This window comes from Homo sapiens, chromosome 1 (genome assembly GCF_000001405.40).
Source record: "Homo sapiens chromosome 1, GRCh38.p14 Primary Assembly".
In the NCBI taxonomy this organism is placed as follows: Eukaryota; Metazoa; Chordata; class Mammalia; order Primates; family Hominidae; genus Homo; species Homo sapiens.
This window is the reverse complement of record NC_000001.11, coordinates 162,388,379-162,412,136: the sequence shown is the minus strand read 5'-3', so window position 1 is coordinate 162,412,136 and position 23,758 is coordinate 162,388,379. Positions and strand designations below refer to the sequence as shown.

Here is a 23,758-nt window from a genome sequence, read left to right as displayed (position 1 = left end):
AGAGGAAGAGGTAGCTCCACAGGAGGTACAGCTGCTTACACATCTCTCCTCAGAGCTGTCCCTTGACTTGGGGGTGAATTTCAGGCCAACAGGGCTTCCTGGGATACAAGAGCGTTCTCCATGGATCTGCCTTACTACCATGGACGTCTGACCAAGCAAGACTGTGAGACCTTGCTGCTCAAGGAAGGGGTGGATGGCAACTTTCTTTTAAGAGACAGCGAGTCGATACCAGGAGTCCTGTGCCTCTGTGTCTCGTGAGTAGCCTCATCTTGCACACATCTGACATCGTATGTTGAATGTGGCAATGGCTGCCACACAGTACAGGAATTCATATCCCTCAGTATTTCACTCTGACTTTGGAGTCTCAATGAGTAGAATGAGAAGTAATGGACACTGCCAGGAGAGGAATGTATCTGTCCATGCTCCTCCATCTGCCTGCTCTCCCTGGTGTAAAGGCCCTGCAAGCAGACTCTGCAGCAGCAGGAGGGACATGGTGGTGGTGAAGGGAAGGGCTGCAGGAAGTACAGGGGTACAGAGGGATGGAAAGAAGGTACAAATGTCAGAGGTCCTGTCCTCCAGAGATCTGTTTATTTGGTATGGAAAAGGCTAGGGGTTCTTCAAGAAATTTCAATCTGAAACACTTATTCTGCAGCATCTGCTTGCAATACGTAAACTATAAATACAATCATATTTCACATTTTGTTAGATTTGTGAAGGACTTCAATATTCGTCATTTCCTTTCATCCTAGTAGTCTATCAAGGCAAGCATAAGCAGTCACCATTTCATAGGTAAAGAAACAGAGACCTGAATTTCTCAAATAATTTGTTTGTGTTAAAACTCATTTGGAATTTCCAGAGTCTAAGTTAAACATGAAATTCCAGGCTGGGCATGGTGGCTCATGCCTGTAATCCCAACACTTTGGGAGGCTGAGGCAGGTGAATCACTTGAGGTCAGGAGTTTGAGACCAGCCTGGCCAACACGGCAAAACCCCATCTCTACCAAAAATACAAAAATTAACCTGGTGTGGTGGCGTGTGCCTGTAATACTGGCTACTTGAGAGGCTGAGACAGGAGAATCACTTGAACCCAGGAGGCAGAGGCTGCAGTGAGCTGAGATTGCACCACTGCACTCCAGCCTGGGCAATAGAGTGAGACTCTGTCCAAAAAAAAGAAAAAAGAGTGGCTGGGCACAGTGGCTCACTCCTGTAATCCCAGCACTTTGGGAAGCGGAGGCAGGTGAATCACCTGAGGTCGGGAGTTCGAGACCAGCCTGACCAACACGAAGAAACCCCGTCTCTACTAAAAATACAAAATTAGCCAGGTGTGGTGGCGTATGCTTGTAATCCCAGCTATTTGGGAGGCTGAGGCAGGAGAATCACTTGAACCCGGGTGGTGGAGGTTGCAGTGAGCTGAGATTGTGCCATTGCACTCCAGCCTGGGCAACAAGAGCAAAACTCCATCTCAAAAAAAAAAAAAAAAAGAAAAAGAAAAACAAATTCCAGGCCACAGTATCAAAGAGACCTAGCTGAAGGAACTTGTTTATGCCCAGTTTAGAAAGCAATCCTGAACAGAAATCACTAGAAACCTCCTATCTTTATGTATGTTCCTCTTTGTAAAGTAGGGACCACTGAACCTTTTATTATACCTGTAACAGAAATTAAAATCCAAATGTCTCTTGTTAAAGAAAAAAATTACTCAATGTCACTTGTTAAATTATGGTTGGGAAGACTTTATTCAGGATCATCACAAAGGTACAGGGACCACTGCAATGAGCTCTTGCGGCACAGAAAAGAGACTGGACTCAACTCTGAATCCAGCATGGACAAGTGGGAATTTATGGCCAAGGAGCAGTGTGGCTGTCGGTAGACAGAAAATTACTCGGAGGAAACATCAGGGGTAAAGTGGATTCTGGCTAAACCAGCCTAACAGAATTGTAGCTGAAGACAGGCCCGGGTGATCAGATGTTGCCTGGGGGATGGTGGAGGATGAGGAATCTGATCAGAATCCAACAGTGATCAGATAGCTAGGGTGAGGGGTCCTTGCCAAACTGACTTAGTAGGGTTCTTTGCTAAAACTGGATTTTACAAGGAAGTACACAAATGGGCCTTGGAATAGGCTCAGAAGTCTGATTATAGACAAAAGTGATTGTCATTACTAATAGAATACACAGGGACATATTTCTTTCTTTAAATGGTACTGGAGATACAGGCTATTTCTCTCATATCTACATCCAACAGTACCATTTAAAGAAAAATATATATTGGCCAGGCGCGGTGGCTCATGCCTGTAATCCTAGCAATTTGGGAGGCTGAGGTGGGCTGATCACTGAGGTCAGGAGTTCAAGACCAGCCTGGCCAACATAATGAAACCCCCATCTACTAAAAATACAAAAATTAGCCAGGCATGGTGGGTGCAGTTGTATCCCAGCTACTTGGGAGGCTGAGGCATGAGAATCGCTTGAACCCAGGAGGCAGAGGTTGCAGTGAGCCGAGATCGCGCCATTATACTCCAGCCTGAGAGACAGAGAAAGACTCTCCATCTCAAATAAAATAAACAAAGAGTGGAAAAGATCTGCTTACATGTAAATGGGATGGAGGGCATTTTAGGAAGGGGAGGAGGTAGGAACAGGAGTCTAGAAGTGGGATATTTTAAAGGATTTACATACAAGGTTCCTAAAATGTAGTTTGGAAACCAGCTTTTGGAAAAGGAGGGTGGGATAAGATCATGGAGTTTTAAAAGAATGGTTCTATAGATAACAGGGAAACATGGATGGTTTCTGAGCAGGGAAGTGAAAAGACTGGTGAATTTAGGAACTTCAATTTGACGTGGAGAACACAATGAAGCTGGGAAATGATGGCAACAGAAACTGTTGTGTCTCTGGACGGGAGACGGTGAAGAGCTAGTTGTGCTGGGGCAAGCAGTGGGAAGGGAAAAAACAAGAAGGTGCAAGGACAGACCTTGGCCAGGATCTCAGGGTATATGGTCAATATGGGATTCTCTTCCTTCCTTTCTTTCTTTTTTTTTTTTTTAGACAGGGTCTCACTCCAGCTCCTAGGCTGGAGTGCAGTGGTGCGATCATGGCTCACTGCAACCTCAACCTTCTGGGTTCAAGAGATTCTCCTGTCTCAGGCCCCCTGAGTATCTGGGACTACAGGTGCGCACTACCATGCCTGGTTAATGTTTAAATTTTTTGTAGACATGGGGTCTCGCTATGTTGCCCAGGCTGATTTCGAGCTCCTGGGCTCCAGTGATCCACCCACCTCAGCCTCCCAAAGTGCTGGGATTACAGGCATGAGCCACTGCACCCAGCCTATATTGGGATTCTCTTTGAAAATTGATATTTATTCTCAACTGTTCTGTGGTGCATCAGCCCATCTTGCATATTCATCTAAAGCAAAGGTCACTAAGAGATGCTAAAAAATGGGCCAGGCGTGGTGGCTCACACCTGTATTCCCAGCACTCTGGGAGGCCGAGGCGGGCAGATCACTAGGTCAAGAGATTGAGACCATCCTGGCCAACATGGTGAAACTCTGTCTCTACTAAAAATACAAAACTAATTAGCTGGGTGTGGTGGCATGCGCCTGTAGTCCCAGCTACTCAGGAGGCTGAGGCAGGAGAATTGCTTGAACCCAGGAGGCGGAGGTTGCAGTGAGCCAAGATCGCACCACTGCACTCCAGCCGGGTTACAGAGCGAGACTTGATCTCAAAAAAAAAAAAAAAAAGAAGAGAAAAAAAGAGAAGCTAAAAAATGAAAATAAACCAAGTGGAGAGGCAAAAATAAATATTTGTTAAGCCCCTGCACATGATCAGGTCTCACCCACCTCCCTACACATGTCACTGAAAGGCAAACAACATTTCATTCACCCTCAGGCTTAAGGCTTAGGTCAAGTGACCCCTGAAGCTATCTCCTCATAGGGCCTTGTAAAAATGTATTATCATACAGATAAGTATGGACTATTAAATTCTAGTTGTTCAACAAATATTTGAATTCTCTCATATGTCAGACAGTGTGCTAGACACTCGGTTGATGCCTTCAACACAACTCAGAGCCTAGTGGGGAAAATAAAGAAGTAAACAGACACAGTGATGCATGTGATAATTATGATGATTGGACTATCATTAGGGCACTGTAGAGCTGACAGCAAAAAGGGGAGAACCAGATATTGGAGCTGAGACTTTAGGAGAATAAGTGGAACCTTCATTCATTCAACAAGCATATACTGAGCACTTATTATGTTCCATGCGTGGTCCTAAGCATTGGTAATACAGTGATAAATACTACTGGCAATGTTTCTGCCCTCATGAAGTTAATTTCAGTAAGAGGAGAAAATATGATGAAAATGAAACAGAGTCATATGACAGGGAGAGACACAGCTGCTGCTTTCCATTGGGTACAGGAAAGGTTTCTCTGAAGAGGTCACATCAACCAATTCATGCTTCAAGATACAACCCTTTGCAAGCAAAGCAAGAATTACTATTATGATACAAGTGTTAGCCTGCTTGTCTTCACTGACACAGAAAAAGTTACCATGTAGGTATTATCTATGAGCCAAACATTTTGCTAAGCATGGTACATGCATTATCTTATTTGTCATTTGCAATCCCTTTGCGGTAGGCGACATGATCACTATTTTGTGAGAAAATAAACTGTAGCTTCTTATTTAATAGCTTGCCTAGGGCCAAATTGCTAATATGTTATTACATTCCCTCTCTTACCAATGTCCCCAGCTTCACTGAAATATGTTTCAGGTAATCACCTTGGATCTGTGTTATAAAATGCCCAAGCAGGGGACCTGAGGGCTTGGGAGTGGACTCTGATATGCAGTGTCCCCTTCTTCTCTGCTGCATTAAAATGGGTCTCCCCTGGACACCCAGCTTTAAAATTTCTCTGTTTTGTACTCTTTCCCTTTATTTCTTAGACTGGCCGACACTTAGGGAGAATAGAAAAGAACCTACGTTGAAATATTGGGGGCTGGTTCCCCCGATACTTCAGGACTTTCACAGAGCTAAATATTTAGTGATGAAAATACTGTGAGGAAGGTTAGAAATAAAAGAAGGAGGTCACAGAGAGAGCTGACCTAGCAGCATATGGCACTAACCAGAAAGCTATGTGGTAACTGTGGACAGGAAATGTTTTCTGATCTTACAATGTAATAGAGTGTCTAGAAAACTCCAGTGTGTAAAAGGTTGTCTGTGTAGTGTGACTTTGTGAGTGTCTAAACTGTCTGCCTTTATCATCAGTAAAATTAAATGGAGTAGATATTAGGAGGTGCAAAGGATTCATCTGCAAGTGTGAAGAAAAGGAGGACTTTGCAAAGCCATAGGAAGGCTGCAGGTGAGGAAGACCTGAGCCCTAACCTACTGCATGCTCTCATTAAGAATAATAATGGCAATGTCTATCTATTGCCTTGAGAGTCATTTATGAGTCTCAGATTCTGAGACTTTTGCAAGGATTGTAGAGTACAGAAAGAAAAGAAATGATCCATTTTGTTGTGGTGGTTTATCAAGCTAATGAAAATTCATTTTAGAAAATCAAATATAGAGAAAGGTATAAAAAACAAAACAAACTATATCAGTCTCACCACTCTGAAATCACCATTTTTAATATTTTGGCATACATCTCTCCAGACTTCTCTGCGCATCTATAAACCAATATATGTACATAAATGGTTCATTATACATGATGGCTTGCAACCTGTTTTCTCCATAATTGTAGGTCTCTTTCCCCATCAAAGAAAGCAGGTCATCCCCTTATGACTGCTTAGTATTTTATTGATTTGATATATCATAATGTATACATATCATACATTAGGTTATTTTCAATTTTCATTTGCAATTTAGTCCAGTGGACTCAGTGTAATTTGGAATGATTAACATTTTTGTACTTACATCTGTGAAAGTTTGCCTTACTCCCTAGTTAGGATAAAATCCTAGATGTTTAAAAAAATCTTCATGCACACTGAAAAATTAGTACCACAAAAGGTTGCACCAAGATACACTGAGATCAGGAACAGTGATAAGGCCAGAGGTCAAAAGTCTTAAAATATTTCTTTGTTGACTTGGATTTCCCACTTGCATCATGGCATGGAAAAATGCAGAACACATTGTTGATATTATAGGGTGCAGTCGATTCCATTTCCTTCAGCTGACCTTTTGAAGGTTAGTTAAAATAAAAACTTGAACACAAACAAGTTTCCCCACAACAATGGCCACAACATGAGACCGTGCTAATCTGTGGGCTGTTCATGCGTTGAGCAAGGACTCAGAGATCCGTGCACAGCACCTCATGGAACGATCACTTTGAAAGCTAAATAGATAGAGTAAAACAATTCAAAGATATGGGAAAACTTAGAGGTCCTGTATTCCAGCCTTTTTGAACCTCAACTGAGAAATTAATGCCTAAGATTTTTAAATGTTTTTTATAAGTCCAGTGTATTTCTCATAAATGACGACAACGATTTCCATAGAATAAACAAAAAGGTAGGCTCCACTGGGTATCAGTCTCACACAGAGAGTCAAGACACCACATATTTATTGAGAACATAACTGCAAAAATAGGAAACACTTTTTCTATCTGAGGCCAAAAACCAATCATGAAAACAGCAAAAGCACATATGTATAAGGAATTAAAATTTAGTTTATATATTAGAAAGATAAATTATATTCATCTACCTTTTTATGCCATGAATATGTCTTACTGCTTTATTGAGGTATCACTGACATAAAATAAAAAGTGTACAATTTGATGGATTTTGACATATGTATGTACACTTATGAAACGAACACAGCCAAGATAATGAACATATTTATCACCTCCAAAACTTCACTTGCACCCCTTTGTAATTTCTCATCAACATACCTCCCACCTATGCCCAGACTCTGGGCCACCACAAACTGCTTTCTGGCACTATAGATTAATGTGTATTTTTCCAGAATTTAATGTAAATCAAATCATAGAGTATGTAGTCATTTTTATCTGACTTCTTTTATTCGGAATAATTATTTTGAGATCCATCTATGTGGTTGCATGCAGCAATAGTTCATTTTTTTGCATTGCTGAATAGTGCTCCATTGTAGGGATGCATCCCAAATTGCTTACTCATTTATAGCTATTACAGCTAAAGTTGCTATGAATATTTGTGACTAAGTCTTTGTGTGGGTGTATGCTTTCATTTCTCCTGGGTAAATAATCAGGATTGGAACAGCTAAGTTGTGTGTTCTATGTAGGCTTATCTTTTTTAAGAAACTGCCAAACTGTTTCCCAAAGTGATCATGCGATCTCACTATTCCCATGGGCATTACATGAGTTCTGATTGCTCTACATCCTTACCAACATGTGGAACGGTCAGTCTTTTACATTTTAACTGTATTAATAAGTGTGTAGTGGTATCTCATTGTGAGTTGAATCTGCGTTTCACTAATGACTAATGATACTGGGTATCTTTACGAGTGCTTATTTGCCATCCATGTATTTTCTTTTCTTTTTTTATTGAGGTTCAACAGCAGATTTTACTTTTTTTATTTTTAAAAACTTAAGTCTAATTCAAGTAAAATAAGCTGTACATATTTAAAGTATACAATCTAATTCATTTTATTTTATTTGATAGATAAAATTATATGTACTTATTTTGTACAATGTGATGTTTTAAAATATATATACGTTGTGGAATGACTAAATCTAGCTAATTAACATATGCATTACCTCATCAAGTTATCATTTTTGTAGTGAGAAAACTTAAAATATCCTCTCAGCATTTTTCAAAAATATAATATATGGTTATTATTTTATTTTATTTTTTTTGAGATGGAGTCTCACTCTGTCACCCAGGCTGGAGTGCAGTGGCACCATCTCGGCTCACTGCAGCCTCCACCTCCTGTGTTCAAGCTATTCTCCTGTCTCAGCCGCCTGAGTACTTGGGATTACAGGTGCCTGCCACCACACCCAGCAAATTTTTGTATTTTTAGTAGAGACAGGGTTTCACCATGTTGGCCAGGCTGGTCTTGAATTCCTGACCTTAGGTGATCCACCCACCTTGGCCTCCCAAAGTGCTAGGATTATAGGCCTGAGCCACTGTGCCCTGCCTAAGAACGTAATATATGGTTATTAACTATAGTCATCATGTTGTACAATAGATCTCTTGTTTAACTGAAATTTTGTATCCTTTGACCAATATCTCCCTAATCCTCCCCCTCTCACTGACAAGGCCTGAGAACTCTCATTCTACTCTTTAGTTTTATGATATCAACTTTTTTTAGATGCCACGTATGAGTGAGACCATGTGGTATTTTTCTTTCTGTGCCTGGCTTATTTCAGTTAGGATAACATCCTCCAGATTTATCCATGTTGTTGCAAGTAACAGGATTTTATTTTTCTATGGCTGAATAATATTCCATTGTGTGTGTGTGTGTGTGTGTGTGTGTGTGTGTGTGTGTGTAACTTTCTTCATTCATCTATTAATCAAGTTAGGTTGATTCCATGTCTTGGCTATTGTGACTAATATTGCAATAAAAGTGGGAGTGCAGATATTTCTTCAACATACTAGATTCATTTCCATTGGATATATACACAGTAGTGAGGTTATATAGTAATTACATATATATATATATATATATATATATATATATTTTTTTTTTTTTTTTTTTTTTTTCAGACAGAGTCTCGCTCTGTCGCCCAGGCTGGAGTGCAGTGGCATGATCTTGGCTCACTGCAACCTCCGCCTCCTGGGTTCAAGCGATTCTCGTGCCTCAGCCTCTCGAGTAGCTGGGATTACAGGCATACGCCACCACACCCAGCTAATTTTTGTATTTTTAGTAGAGACGTGGTTTCACTATGTTGGCCAGGCTGGTCTGAAACTCCTGACCTCGTGATCTGCCCTCCTCAGCCTCCCAAAGTGTTGGGATTACAGGCGTGAGCCACGGCACCCGGCCAGTAATTCTATTTTTAATTTTTTGAGGAACCTCCATACTGTTTTCCATATGGCTATACTAATTTACATTCCCATCAGCATTGTACAAGGGTTTTCCTTTCTCTATATCCTTTGTCTTTTTTGATAATAGCCATTCTAACGGGCATGATGGTGGGTGCCTGTAATCCCAGCTACGCAGGAGGCTGAGGCAGGAGAATCGCTTGAACCCGGGAGGCGGAGGTTGCAGTGAGCTGAGATCGCACCACTGCACTCCAGCCTGGGCGACAGAGTGATATTCCGTCCCAGAAAAAAAAAAAGAGTTTTTTTAGGATTGTAGATTAACAAAGGTATTGCATATGAAACATAACGATAGATGTTACCTGGATTTGCATAGAACATTTTGATTCACACAGTCATTTTTTCCACAGGTTTAAAAATATTGTCTACACATACCGAATCTTCAGAGAGAAACACGGGTATTACAGGATACAGGTAAGAACAAAAAGGACGACAACAACAACAACACAAAAGTTGGGGGAGAAGAACCTGGGAACATGTCTTTTACCTGAGCCATGACTGTGCGAAAGCATTCTAAAAAGGAAAGCACAATGCAGAGATGAGAGTCAGATCGAGTTAACCTGGTTTTTCCCTGAAGAGAAATAGGAAGGTTCTAGGCTTGGGTTCTACTTTTTTTGTTGTTGTTTTGTTTTTTTTAGACGGAGTCTCGCTCTGTCGTCCAGGCTGGAGTGCAGTGGTGCGATCTCGGCTCACTGCAACCTCCGCCTCCCGGGTTCAAGCGATTCTCCTGCCTCAGCCCCCGCCCCCCCAAGTAGCTGGGACTACAGGCGCGCGCCACCACCCCCAGCTAATTTTTGTATTTTCAGTAGAGAAGGGTTTTCGCCGTGTTAGACAGGATGGTCTCGATCTCCTGACCTTGTGATCCGCCGGCCTCAGCCTCCCAGACTGCTGGGATTACAGGCGTGAGCCACCGCACCCAGCTGGGTTCTACTTTTGAATAACCCTCACTGTTATTCCACTGTGGCTCCTCCACTGGCCAAACACACCAGCCTGGACTCCAAGCAAAACCTCCGTTGAATTAGAAGACTCAACAATGATGCAAGATGGAGCTAGAAAGGGACGGTGGAAAGAGGTCAGAGTGTTTAGGGAGTCAAGTGTGCCCAATAGTTGTACGAAAATATAGTGGGAAGCATCAGATAGCTGAAAGTCTTAGGGTTTGTTTAATTTTTCTGGTTTACTGAGAGCTAAGCAGAAAAACATTTTGCTTCTTTTAAATTTAGTTCTCTGGCTTAAGAAGTAGAGTATAATAAACATAACTGCTAACAGAGAATCCTAAAATAATCTTTCTCAAACACTTACATATAAGGTTAAGGAGACTACAGATTTCTAAGAATCTTCAGTATATTAATGTTTACTCTGAATATCTGAAAGAGACTAGAATATAAAATGATCCCCAAACACCTCACTTATACTATTTTTCTTTTGCTATAGAGGACATTATTGAGGCAGTTGACAAAATTTGAATAAATTCAAATTTTGAATAAGATTAACAAATAGTACTGTATCCAGGTTAATTTCCTGATTTTAATCATTGTAGTATGGTTATGTAATATCCTTACTTTTGAAGAAATACTGAAGTATTTAAAGGGATATTATGTCTGCAAATTAACTTTGAAAATAGCTTATATATATGTGTATATATACATGCACAATATATGTGTATATATTTGGAAAGAGAATAAAAAGCAAATATAATAAAATGTTAACATTGGGGTGTGGGTGAAATATATGGTAATTTTTAAAAATTATTTTTGCAACTTTGCTATGTCTGAAATAATTTCAAGATAAAATGTCTTATAAAAAGCAACTTATTTTAAGACTTTTTTTTCTGTTTATTCTTTGGGAAATTCTGGATAATTCCTCAGTACCCTGTTTTGTCTCTTGTGTGGACAAAATAGAGGGAGACATCCAAATCATTTGTAACTCAGACACAAAGAGGCGTTTCACTGGGGAGCAGCTTTGAGCTTAGAAGCCTGCAGTGATGCCTTTTGTTGAAATGACTGCATTAAAGGAACCTCCTTGCAGATGACTTTGATGTCAGCCTGTACCTCTAATACAGAGGTTAATCAGGCGCATATCAGAAAACCTTCTGATCACCAACCCCTTTCTCTAGTCTGACTTGGTGGCCATATGAAAACCACAGTGACGATCAAGAAAACCAAATACACAAAAGTAGAGGAAGAAAATTCATGTGTGTGTGGGTGTGTAAGACAGAGTCTTGCTGTCACCCAGACTGGAGTGCAGTGGCGTGATCTCGGCTCACTGCAACTTCCGCGTCCTGGTTCAAGCGATTCTCCTGGCTCAACCTCCCGAGTAGCTGGGATTACAGGCGTCTGCTACCATGCCCAGCTAATTTTTTGTATTTTTAGTAGAGACGGAGTTTTGCCATGTTGACCAGGCTGGTCTCAAACTCCTGACCTCAAGTGATCCACCCACCTTGGCCTCCCAAAGGGCTGGGATTACAGGCATGAGCCACTGAGCCTAGCCAGAAAATTCTTTTCATTTTAAAATTATTTCTAAAAGGTTATATTAGAAAATAGTGCTTGGTGGGCCAGGCATGGTGGCTCCCGCCTGTAATCCCAGTACTTTGGGAGGCTGAGGCAGGCAGATCATGAGGTCAGGAGATCGAGACCATCCTGGCTAACACAGTGAAACCCCATCTCTACTAAAAATACAAAAAAAAAAAAAAAAAAAATTAGCCAGGTATGGTGATGGTGCTTGTAATCCCGGCTACTTGGGAGGCTGAGGCAGGAGAATGGCATGAACCCGGGAGGCGGAACTTGCAGTGAGCTGAGATCACACCACTGCACTCCAGCCTGGGCCACAGAGTGAGACTCCGTCTCAAAAAAAAAAAAAAAAAAAAAAAGTACGTGGTGTATAGCTGGTAAACAGAAAACATCTATTTACAACTTAACTGAGTTGTGTTGCCATTCCCACTTTCTATTTACATTGGGACTTTTTTGGTTTTGTTTTGCCCACATGGAGATTGTGAATTCATCAAGTATACAAATTGTGTATTTTAAATTCATAAAGTATACAAAATGCATATTTTAAAGACATGGAATCAACCTAAATGCCCATCAGTGATAGACTGGATAAATAAAATGTGGTACATATACACCATGGAATACTAAGCAGCCTAACTGTTCTCCAAATTTGAAAAACCAAATCAGAGGCTGGTGGTTCACCTTTTAAAGCCAATAAAGAGAACCAGCCCCAGCTTGAGATGGAGAGGATCGAAATTAGAGTTGGAAGCATTTATGGTAAAATCTCTCACATGGGGATCAGAAAGGAGCTTAGGTCAAAAAAGAATGAAATCATGTCCTTTGCAGGGACATGGATGGAGCTGGAGGCCATTATGTTTAGCAAACTAATGCAGGAACAGAAAACCAAATACTGCATGTTCTCACTTGTAAGTGGGAGCTGAATGATAAGAACACATGGACACACAGAGGAGAACAACACACACAGGGGCCTGTTGGAGGGCTCAGGGTGGGAGGAGGGAGAGGATCAGGAAGAATAGCTAGTGAATGCTGGGCTTGATACCTGGGTGATGGGATGGTCTGTGCAGCAAACCACTACGGCACACGTTTACCTATGTAACAAACCTGTACATCCTGCACATGTACCCCTGAACTTAAAATAACAGTTGGAATTTTTTTTAATTGCATTTTTGCATTCCCATCAGAAGTCCACTTCCGATAGTCCCTTAAGATAGCAAAGCCCGCCTGTAGGTACAGACGTAAGCCCTTACAGGGGTACCCTTCACAGTGTATCTGCGAGAACTGCCCCAGGTAAACTTCCCAAGGATGGGGTTCACTTGATACTATGGACTGCGCTGGGATCCCTTGATTGCAAATCCTCTTTACTCAGAGTGGCTCAAGTCAGAGGTTGGTCTTAGAAATGAGAGTTTCTGTGAACTGGGAGTGGTGTGAGCTCCAGCCACTTGTTTTCAGTTTTTCAGCTCATAGAAGGGCAGCCCTGAAAACCCACTGCTTTGAGAAGTGTCACATTTCACACGCAATTGCATGATAATGAGTGATTTCCTTTCTTGTATTTTTGCAGACTGCAGAAGGTTCTCCAAAACAGGTCTTTCCAAGCCTAAAGGAACTGATCTCCAAATTTGAAAAACCAAATCAGGGGATGGTGGTTCACCTTTTAAAGCCAATAAAGAGAACCAGCCCCAGCTTGAGATGGAGAGGATTGAAATTAGAGTTGGAAACATTTGTGGTAAAATCTCTCACGTGGGGGTCAGAAAGCAATCTTAATCCTATTTCCACCAATGCCTTACTTTGTAAACTCAATACAGACAAATGCTCTTTTCTGTGACATTATCTCTAAAAAGCTTCATCCTACTAAGAGCAATTTCCATTTTGTTGAGAAGTGCTGTCTTTTAGTCCCTGAGGGCCAAGACAGAGAGCTTGCTGCGTTTGCAGCCAGGATAGCAAGAGTGGTTCCTGGGCAGACAGCTGACTTCAAATTCATTCTGTGACCTTGTGCAGACGATTCAAGTTTGAGAATAAATGGGCAAATGGGCAGATTTTCAAATGAGAAAATCACTCTAGCCCTTCAAGCCCTCCCCAAAGCGTATACTGTTACACTTTGCTCAATATTTGCTAAGCATTCATTTATAAAGTGCTGGGTGTCAAATTATGTCAGATACATTTTTAAAGGCATTAAGCCGTAGTGGAAAATGAGAGATGGTCAGTAAATCTGAGTGCAGAGAATCCCTGCCTAAGCCTCTCAAATTATATCATGAGCAGCTACTCTTCCTTACCCACACTCTTGAAATCTGCTCTCAGTAAAGAATTTACTATCAGTTGCAATGTTGTTTGAATTTAGCTCAGACTTCCAGAAACACTTAGGTCTTAATCCTGTTTTCCCATGTTGGAATGTGTGGTTATATTCTCAGTGAAAGGGATGGCAGTTATCAGTGGCAGGTGATGGGATGAGATCAGATATCCTCCCTAGGAGAGGGACAGAGGACAGAGAGTTCTCTGGGAGCCTGCAATCACTCCATCCCCATTCTACTCTGTCTGCGGCAAAGTCACCCTTTAGGCTGCCATAGCCGGCTTCTCATTTCCCCAGCAAGGCTAAGCATAAAATACAACTCCCTTCCCTACCATTGTGTCCCTGTCCCCCCATCCCCATGAAGGGCAGTGTGTACTCATGGACACAAAAAAATCACTTTCTATAGGTCCAGCTGCAGATGTAGTCCCACAGCTACTTTCCCCCCCAAATTTATAGAATAAAAAGTATACAGTGTGGCAGATCTAGAAACCCAGGAATGTATCTGTGCTGCAGCCCTTAGGCAAACCCAGATGAGTTGCTGGGACTGGTTGGGGTGGTGGTAGCATTTGTCTCAACAATGAGAAAAGAATCATAAATCCCAGGAGGAGAACCCTCAGAAATCTTCCCCAAGACCTGGGCATGAATCTCACTCCATCAGTTTTCCATGCCGGGTCAGTGCTGACACAGCAGGCTCCAAAATTCTCAGCTACTGAAGAGGAAATATTCCCCATCAACCTCTTCCTCCCATTCCCATTGCTTCCTTAGAAGAAGCTTCAGATGTTCTTACTCCAAGGGAGGTGCAGATTTCTTGCTGGTGAATGGAGACACTTGTGCTGGAAGGTCTGAGGCTTGGCTTATAAAGAGATCTCCTATTTTGTTAGGAGGGCTCCCTGTAGTACCCCAGCCTTTAAAGATACAACTTTCAGGTGGCATCAACATGGCTCTGTGCCTGGGGAGGGGTCTTCTTTCCTTTGAGTGGGGTTGTTTGATATGACTTCTGGGTGTGGTCTCATGGCTGGTCTTCTGCTTTTTTTTTCCCTCCAAAGAACAGTAACAGCGATTATGTGGATGTCTTGCCTTGAAGATAAGGCTGCCGGACAAAGCAAGTTGAAGAGATGAGTAACAGTTCTCACTGATGACCCACTTCTGCAGGCATAGGTCCAGAGCACCAAACTCTAGTGGACAATTCAGACTCTCCTGGTTGTGTAACTGAAGATGTTCTGCCCACCAGCACCAGAGGTCACTCTCCACATCCCCGCCTCCCAGACATATACCAGGAGCAATTTCAAAACCCTCTCCAGTTTCACTCTTCTTTCTTGGAATGGGACAGCCTGAACATTTTCCCTTTGACTTGTTAAAGGTACCACCCTACATCATGGTTGACACCCTCCTTTGGACCATGCAGTCAGAGGGGCAGCTTTATACAGAGGAGGGGCACACTTGTCTGTGAGTTTGAAGCCCTGAGTTCCAGTCCTGTGGCTGTGTGACTTTGAACACGTTTCTGCCCATCTCCAGGTCTTAGTTTCTTTGTCTCTGTGGTTGGGTGGGATGATAAACATTGCCCCAGTCTCTCTGTTGAGCCTGCTTGTGTCAGGTGAAGGTGAGGGATCGGGAGTGATGGAGATGCATACAGATCAGCACCTTCTCTGTACCTGCTGGACCCCCATGTGCACCCTTCTCCCTCCAGCCTGGGCTACTCTCCTCCTGGTTCTTTCTAATCTTAAACTTCCTGGTGAGCATTGCCCCAGCCACACTTTCTCCCTGGTTTTGCTTAATTCCACTTATGCATCAGTCATTTCAACAGCATGAATGTGGTTCTGTACAGTGATGTATGTGGAGATTTCTAAAATATTCTATGTGTGATTTCTGTTCCCAACTAGGTTCTAAGTGCCATCAAAGCACGGTTGGGTCTCCCTTGTATCTTCCACAGTGTGTAGAAATTTGTGCTGCCCAGAGCTGTGCCTAGTTCATAGAAACTGACTGGAAGCACATTGCTGAGGGAGGTTTGTTGAATTGGTTTTTAAGGTTTACTGAAATTGATTTGCTGAATTTTTCTGCTAGTTCAAAATGTGAATTAGGACCTGGTCAGTTTGAAATATACCAAATTCTATGCCCTTTCTCTTACCTATCATCAAATTGTAGTAATGTATTTCACCCCACTGGACTTATCTTCAGAGTTTTAAAAGAGAGGAGCTCTCGACTTAGAGGTAATATGAACAGATGAACAGACACTGTGGCTGGAGCCCCAAAGTGTGGAGCATTGTGAGATTTGGGGTCACAGCAATTTATGGCTACTATTCCCTGGGTCTGGTAGGTAGGACAAATGTCCTCTTTTACTTTTCAAAACTGGCTTAGGTATTCATGGACCTTGATTCTTCTATATACATTTTATAATAAATACGTGAAATTGCTTAAAACCTCTTTTTGGAATTTTTAATGAACTTGCAACAAATTTGTAAATAGGAGAGAACTGACGTTCTTGTGATGTTTTCCCATGCATAAACATGCCACATCCATGTTCTTGGGTCATCTTTTTTGCCCTTTCATGGAGTCATAAATTTTCCCAACTGAAGTCTTGTATATTCTGTTAGATTAATTCCTATTTCTAGTTGCTGTAAATGATATCTTATGTTTTATTACATTTCTAATAGGATATGGTGTTGGTGAAATGTTAACCCTCTCATTAGATCTACTAGTTTACCTGTTGATTCTATTGTGTTTTCTATGTAAATGATTTTGTCAGCTATAAATAATAACATTTTATTTTCTCTTTCCTTGCAATACCTATGCTCATTTATTTTTTATGTTTACCCATTGGTTAGGGCCTCCTGTATACATTAAACAGTTCATAGTCATGATAGTGAGTATTCTTACACTGTTCCCAGTATTACAGGGAATGCTTAGAAATTTTCTTTATTTAAACATTATGTTTGTTGTAGCCTTGTTAAAGGCTATTTTATAATTTTTACTAGAAATATTTTGACATTTATTGTGATTTTTTTCTATCTCTAATCTATTGAGATAGTCACATTCCTTTTGTCTTCACTCCATTATAAAGGTAAGTTACCTTAATAAAATTGTTGATATCATTTCATCCTTGCATTGCTTCACTTGATAATATTTTATTATTTTTCATAAACTGTGGAATTTGGTAAGTTAATATTTCATTTAAGATTTTTGCATTAAAACTCATAAACCAAATAGGACTATAATTTACTGAATCATGGTTACACTGTTCATATAAAGCGAAGAAAAGTCTTTTTCCTTTTACCATTTTCTGCAACAACTCTTCAGGTAAAGATTATTTGTTCTGGGCTGGGTGTGGTGGCTCACACCTGTAATCCCAGCACTTTGGGAGGCCGAGGTGGGGGGATCACTTGAGGTCAGGAGCTCAAGATCAGCCTGGCCAACATGGTGAAACCCTGTCTCTACAAAAATACAAAAATGTAGCCAGGTGTGGTGGCACACGCCTATAATCCCAGCTACTTAGGAGGATGAGGTGGGAGAATCGCTTGAACCCGGGAGGTGGAGGTTGCAGTGAGCCAAGATCATGTCAGGGCACTCCAGCCTGGGTGACAGAGTGAGACCCTATCTCAAAAAATATATATATAGTAAATAAATAAATAAAAATAAACTTATCTGTTCCTTGACATTTTTTAGTACAGTACTTTCTTATAAAACTGAGTTTGAGACTCTGGTGGGGTGGGGTGGGGTGGAGTGGGGGGGCATCTTCAATTACTATTTAAATATTAATACTTTTTGATTTGTTAAAATATTTTGCCAATTTTGTCTTTTTTTGTTTTTCTAGAAATGTGTCAATTTTGTCTGTTTTCACAATTATTGGCAGATAGTTTGTAATATTCTTGCATTATTTTAATGCTTTCTTGTGACTGTAGCAACATCTCCTTTCTCACACTGTGTCTATTTGGATCTTACTCTTTTATATTTATTGATTTTATCTATCTTATTAGTCTTTTCAAAGCCAGCTTTTGGTTTTGTTCATCTTTTTTGTTACTGCTTTTAAATTGTTATTCTCTATTTATTTGATTTCCAGCCTCATTTTAGGGGGGCTTATCTGACTTGTTTTCAATACTTATTATTTTCTAATAAATATATTTATAGTTATGAATTTAGCTCAAAGTACTATTTTAGCTGTATCCCATAAATTTTAACACAAATAGTGGTTATTGCAGTTTAGGTCAAAGTATTTTTAATTCTTGTAAAAGTATCTTCTTTAATCCAAAAACTATTTAGTAGTTCATAATTGTTTTCAAACATACATTTTTAGTTATTTTAGTATAGATTTCAAACTATATCACGTTAAGGTTGGATAACAGCCTGACTTCAATTTCTGAGGCTTCCTTGCTGACCTGGTATATGTGAACATTCTGTGAATATTTCATTTGTTTGAATTACTCTTTCTATTCATTTTAAAGCTTGTTCTCTTTACCTCTTCCCCAAATGTATTCAAGATTATAGATTATATAAAACAAATATTTTCATAGATTTGCATATTTTATCTATTTGATCTATCAGCGTCAGAGAAAGATAAATCTTTTAATTCTATATATAATAGTATTTAACTTTCTGATTATAATAGTTAGTATATTAACTAGTTTTTGTTATTTTACCATTTTTATTTTAACTGTTTTTTAATATTTTTATGTGTATATATTTTTATTACTATTTTATCATCTTCATTTCCTTTATTTTATAAAGTATTCCTCCTTGTCTCTCATTAGTTTTGCCTTTATTTATATTTTACATCATATTAAAATTGCTATCTCAACTTTTATTCATACTTTCCTAGTATGTAATTTTCTGTCCTTTCATTTTCAAGTTTTTACACCTTTTATCTCTGTCTTCTGTGGACACAATATTGCTGGATCTTTTTTTTTTTTCCAATTTAAGATTCTCTCCTTTTGTTTGGTGAGTTCAAAACACATGTTTATTATAATTTGTTCTATTGGAATTTATACCGCCATCTTATACATTCTTTCCATTTGCTATACATTTTTTCCTTTTTTTCTCCTTTTCTGCTTTCCATTGAATAGATCAAATTTATCTCTGTTAATTTGAAAGCTCTATTAAAAAAATTTAGTGTTTACCCATAACTTATTAGGCCCTGTATTTTTATTTTTCTCTATAACATTGTAAATATATCAATTGTTATAATTTAACATGCTCTCATTTCTCTTCTGTCACCATCACCAATCCCATCAGATTTTCTGAAATTATCTAAAATTTTAATTGTTATTTACTCTTTTGGGTCCTTTATCATTTAAATAACAGTATACTTTACTGAGTCAATTAGTCATCCTTCTTGTAAATTTAAAAAACACATAGCACTCTCCTGAGTTTCTCTTCTTGGCAGAATATTTTCTGCAAAAGTATTTTGCATATTTGAAAATTGCTATGAGAGCAGATTTTAAGTGTTCTCATCAAAGATGGTCTTTGAGTGGTAAACCTTTTGCGGTCTTTTTAATTTTAGATTAATTTAAATGATAGTTGAGCTAAATATAGAATTGTAGGTTTAAAGTTATTTTCCTTCAGTGATATAAAACATATTAAGTTGCTAGCACTTTATGTGTAGGTTTCTTACTGAGATGTCTAATGTCAATCTGATCCTCCTTCACTGCTGAACTTTTTCGTGGAAAGTTGAAAAATGGCCTGTCTTCATGATCTTAAATTTCACTGTGATGTGTCTAATAGTGAGTTTTTTCTTCTCTATCAAATATGAAACCTTATAGGCCATTTTGCTCTTGGGATTTTAATCTTTCTTTACTTTTATTACTATTTAAATGAATAGAATGAATGAATGAATGAATGAATGAGAATTCTCATTCATTTTTCAAAGATTTCTTCTATTTTTTCCCTCCTACTGGAATTTCTAATTAAGAACTGTCCTCTCTTTTATTTTGCCCTTGAAATGATATTTGTTAAGTGATCTTAGGAAAGATACAAGCCTCTCTAAAATGGAGACAATATTTATCTCATAAATTACTATTAGTTTTGTCATGGAAGTCTTCCTTTCAGTTACCAGAAACTGCAATACCTGATGCCAGCCACAAGAGGCCAGACAGCCATCAAGAAAACTAGTACTGCTTGAGGGTTTTATTTTCCTTTCTTTCCTTCCTTCCTTCCTTCCTTCCTTCCTTCCTTCCTTCCTTCCTTCCTTCCTTCCTTCCTTTTCTTTCTCTCTCTCTTTTTTTGTAAAGCCCTGCTGAGTACCATGGTAGCTATTAGACCTGAAATATTTCTTTAGCAAGTATTCTCCAAACAGTACTCACTTCCCCATTGAATGCTTAATCTCCAGTGTCGATAACAGGATTAGTTTCTAAGCCAGGCTTCCCTGAGTTTGCAATGTGAGATGTAATAGGTGCTCTTGCCACTCCTACTGCAGGGCGAAATTCTTGCAATTCAGAGAAGGCTCTTACCGACACCCTTAAGAACGAATGTTTTCAGGAGGTACTATTGTTAGCTCTGTCACTTACTGGTAGAGTGACTATGGGCAAATTGCTAAGACTCCCTAAGCCTCTGGTCAGCTTCATCTAGAAAATGAGGATAATGACTTACCACATAAAGTTACTGTGGAGCTTCACTGAGATGACGCCAGCCCAGGTTAACATGTTAACAATGCAGTCTTTGTTGTTTCCTCTTTTGTAAAATGAGGGGACTGTGGAATGGGTCTTTAAATTCCCATCCCATGTGAATATGCAGTGTTTAATGAAACTGTATTACTCCTTGGAGAAGATCTAACTCAAAAAGATGTTTCTGAGCCATGAACGTTTCCTGGAATTATTTATCAGACTGGCGCGATGGAGATAGAGAAGTAGGGGAGGGTGGCTGTTCCTCAGGCCTGAAGACTTAGGTCTTCCCAGAGAGTTCTGCCTCTCAGTTGTAAGACCCAGGGAATTGGCTTAGACATCATCTCAGTCTCAGTTTACCTCTTCCTAACATGGGGCTGAAATACCTCCCTCACAAGATAGGATTCATGAGATCGTGTGTGTGAATCTCTTTAAGCACAATAGAATAACATCCGTATCTGGAAAATGGGCTTAGTAAGACCTCCCTTGGAGGGCTATGAGAAAAACAAATGAGACCATGTGTATAAATTGATTAACACAATTCCTGGAGTATATAGAAGCTTCAGAGAATGATAAAGCACCAATTAACAGTCAAGCCTAACACAGTGAAGTAGAATGTTAAGAATTGGAACTCAGAGCCCTGTAGGCAGCTCCCAGAGGTAGGCAGGTGCCTGGCACTGAAGCACAGCCCTTCTTGCATTATGCTGGATATAAGTGCTTGCTTCTACCAGCTCCGTGGCAAGGTGGCATCTGTCCAAGGAACAGAGTTAATGAAGGCTCCGGCTGCAGATAAATGAGCTTCACATTGGCCCATTAATCACTTTCCACTTCGAAAATGGCCACCCTCAATCCTTCTCTGTGGAGTTGATGATCATGTACAGAGGCTGCCTGCGGATAGAGATCCTGAGGAAGAGGGGCTGAAAGAGTCCTGCTGGTCTACCCCAGAGCCTGTCTAGTCTGTTCCACACAAATTCAACTGCAGGTTTCCTGAGTTTAGTTCCATTCAAAGTGCATCTTTATCGAGCTCCTGCAATATGCCAGACACTGTGCTGGGAACCGAGGAGTCAGGGATGAAGATGGCATGGTCCCTGCCCCTGAGCTCAGAGACCTGGGGGAGAGAAGCATGAGGATGAAGCGACTTTCTATGACACATGGAGAGTACCGTGATGGAGGAACACATAGGATGCTACGGGAACGCAGAGAAGGGGTGGGGTGGTGTCCGGGAAGCCACCTGGAGGAAGGGATGCCTGAGTGGAAATGTGAAAGATGAATTAACATAGCCTAGTGAAGTCAGAGGAAAGGGACGGGAAGGTAGAAACGTGACCCGGGCAGATGGACCATCTTAAACACAGGCATGGAAGCAATTCGGAGCAGGCTGGGGCTCTGAGGGAAGTACAGCACAGAGGCAGCAGTGGCAGTCGCCGCCAGCTAGGCAGGCAGGCCGGCCACAAATAATCCAGAGTGCGGAGAACCCACCTGACACCTCCCCCACATGCGTCTTAGCAAGCCTCCTGGCCAGGTCACAGCATGTGCCACCTACACAGTCGATGACTGATGATTAAGGGGGTGGGGTAGGGAGAGGCATGGACAAGACTGCCACCCCCACCTCCCCCTCTAGCTTTCTTACACGTGAAATCGCTTCCTAGATGGCTTACACAGCCTCTCCGGGAGGCCCAGTTCCTAGAAATGTCACACATTGGCCAGGTCTAAAGACTACTTGCCAGGTCAGCTGCAAAGACTTCCTGACACATAGGACCCAGGATTTAAGCTGAACAAGGGAGGCTGGCTGCAACAGAATTTACCAAGTACCAGGAGATTATGGGAAGGCAAAACAACAGGGGCAGTCCCCGCTTGTCTTGAGCTTTCCTATCCAGCAAGGGGGATCCATCCATTGCAGGCTCAGGATAAAGTGGGGGGCATGCATCTTGCTGAAGCTGCAAACCGTTCCCAGGGCAGACAGTTCACTTTTCTCCTGCCCCTTTGGCTTGCCCCATGAAGGCCTGGACCAACCCAAAGCACTCCTGTGACAACCACAGGGAATTGTTCTAAGTTGCTGTGAGTGAGCCCCCGAAGTGGGCTGAACACTGGGATGTGCTTGAACATCAGACCAAGCCAACAAGAATTTCCCAATAAACGCAAGCCTAGAAAGCAGGTGGCGGCAGACATGGAGCGATGATTCAGGAAATAGGTAGCTAAGCAGATGGCACTGGAAACAGCTGGCTGGTTAAACAGTAAAAAAAAAATGTTGCGGTTTGTCGGAAGGTTGCTTTTTGTTTGGGTTTTTTTGTTTTGTTTTGGTCAATTCCAAAGAACACACTGGCAATGTTCCCTGCTCTATATAACCAACAGACTCCTCAGGCAACTTGCACGAAGGAGAATACAGTCTGGAGTCTGAGGTGGTCCTTAAATATTTCCTCAAGCTTGCTTCCTCGTCTGTGTTGTTAATAGCCAAGTGATTCGTTTTGTGGGGTAGCTTCCCCAGGCTCCCTTGGGCTGGACTATTTATCATGGCAGCAGCTGGAGATAAGCTGGACACAAAGAGGATTTGTGTCTCAGGAGAGCTGGTCCCTAGATACAGAAAGTGGAGGAATTTTCTCATTAGGAGGAAGTCAGTGGTGGGGACTCTGGGCTTTCCTCCTGTGCCCCCAGTGCAAACAGTAGCAGGGAGGGGGCGTCCTGGAGGGGAGATGTACTTGAAGATGCTTTCACTGGACAACTTAAAGCTTCCAGAGTAGATTTCCTTGGGAGAGACGAAAGGTATTAAATGCCATCTGCACTGGTGAAGCTTTCCAAGGGGGAGGTAGGAGTCTCTCTACAAGGGCTATATGGACTTAATTACTTGTTCCCACTAACAGAGAGGCCACAGTGGGAGGCTCCAGGCTGAATGTCCCAAAGCAGGGCGGCGAACTGAGCGACTGAAGCCCGGGGCACTCTGAGGGCCAAAGTCTCAGACAAACCATCACTGAGTTTGCCACCACAGCTAGATTGGCCTGGGAAACTCCGCAGTGTGGGGAGGGCAGCAGAGAGAGGAGGACAGGGAGTCCAAGCACAGAGAGTTCTAGAACACTCCCAGGATTCACTGACCTCAAAGGCATTGTGAAATGTGAGAGCAGATTAAACTGACCCAGCAGGAATTTTCTGAGATTAGGGTAGCATCTGAGTACATTTCCGGGTCGGCTAATTTCATAAAAATTCTGAATACCAACTGGGGTCCCTGCCAGCATAGGCACAGACCTAAGGAATGAGGTGGGTCTCCTGATGGCCCCTGAGTGTGTTTCCTTCAGCAACTACTAATGGCAGATTTAGTCCAGAGGAAATGAGCACTCTCTCGGCTGAAATTAACTGCCTCACCCTGAGCCCCACTTTGGTGCTTCCACTGCATTTCACATCCTGATC

The 23,758-nt window shown here is 41.2% G+C and overlaps 1 protein-coding gene across 1 annotated transcript, besides 1 other annotated feature; it reads left to right on the top strand.

Annotated features, from left to right (window-relative positions):
- On the top strand, window positions 1-16,869 carry SH2D1B (SH2 domain containing 1B). The gene is made up of 4 exons (NM_053282.5): window positions 1-254; window positions 9,335-9,398; window positions 13,050-13,214; window positions 14,822-16,869. Exons 1-4 carry the CDS (start codon window positions 121-123, stop codon window positions 14,855-14,857), a joined length of 399 nt encoding a protein of 132 aa, NP_444512.2. The 5' UTR covers window positions 1-120; the 3' UTR covers window positions 14,858-16,869.
- Window positions 19,944-20,238: a silencer, noted in NCBI's record as "tiled region #4437; HepG2 Repressive non-DNase unmatched - State 12:CtcfO". NCBI's record gives its function as "represses a minimal TATA promoter and a strong SV40 promoter by Sharpr-MPRA in HepG2 cells {active_cell/tissue: HepG2}" and the evidence as "EXISTENCE:reporter gene assay evidence [ECO:0000049][PMID:27701403]".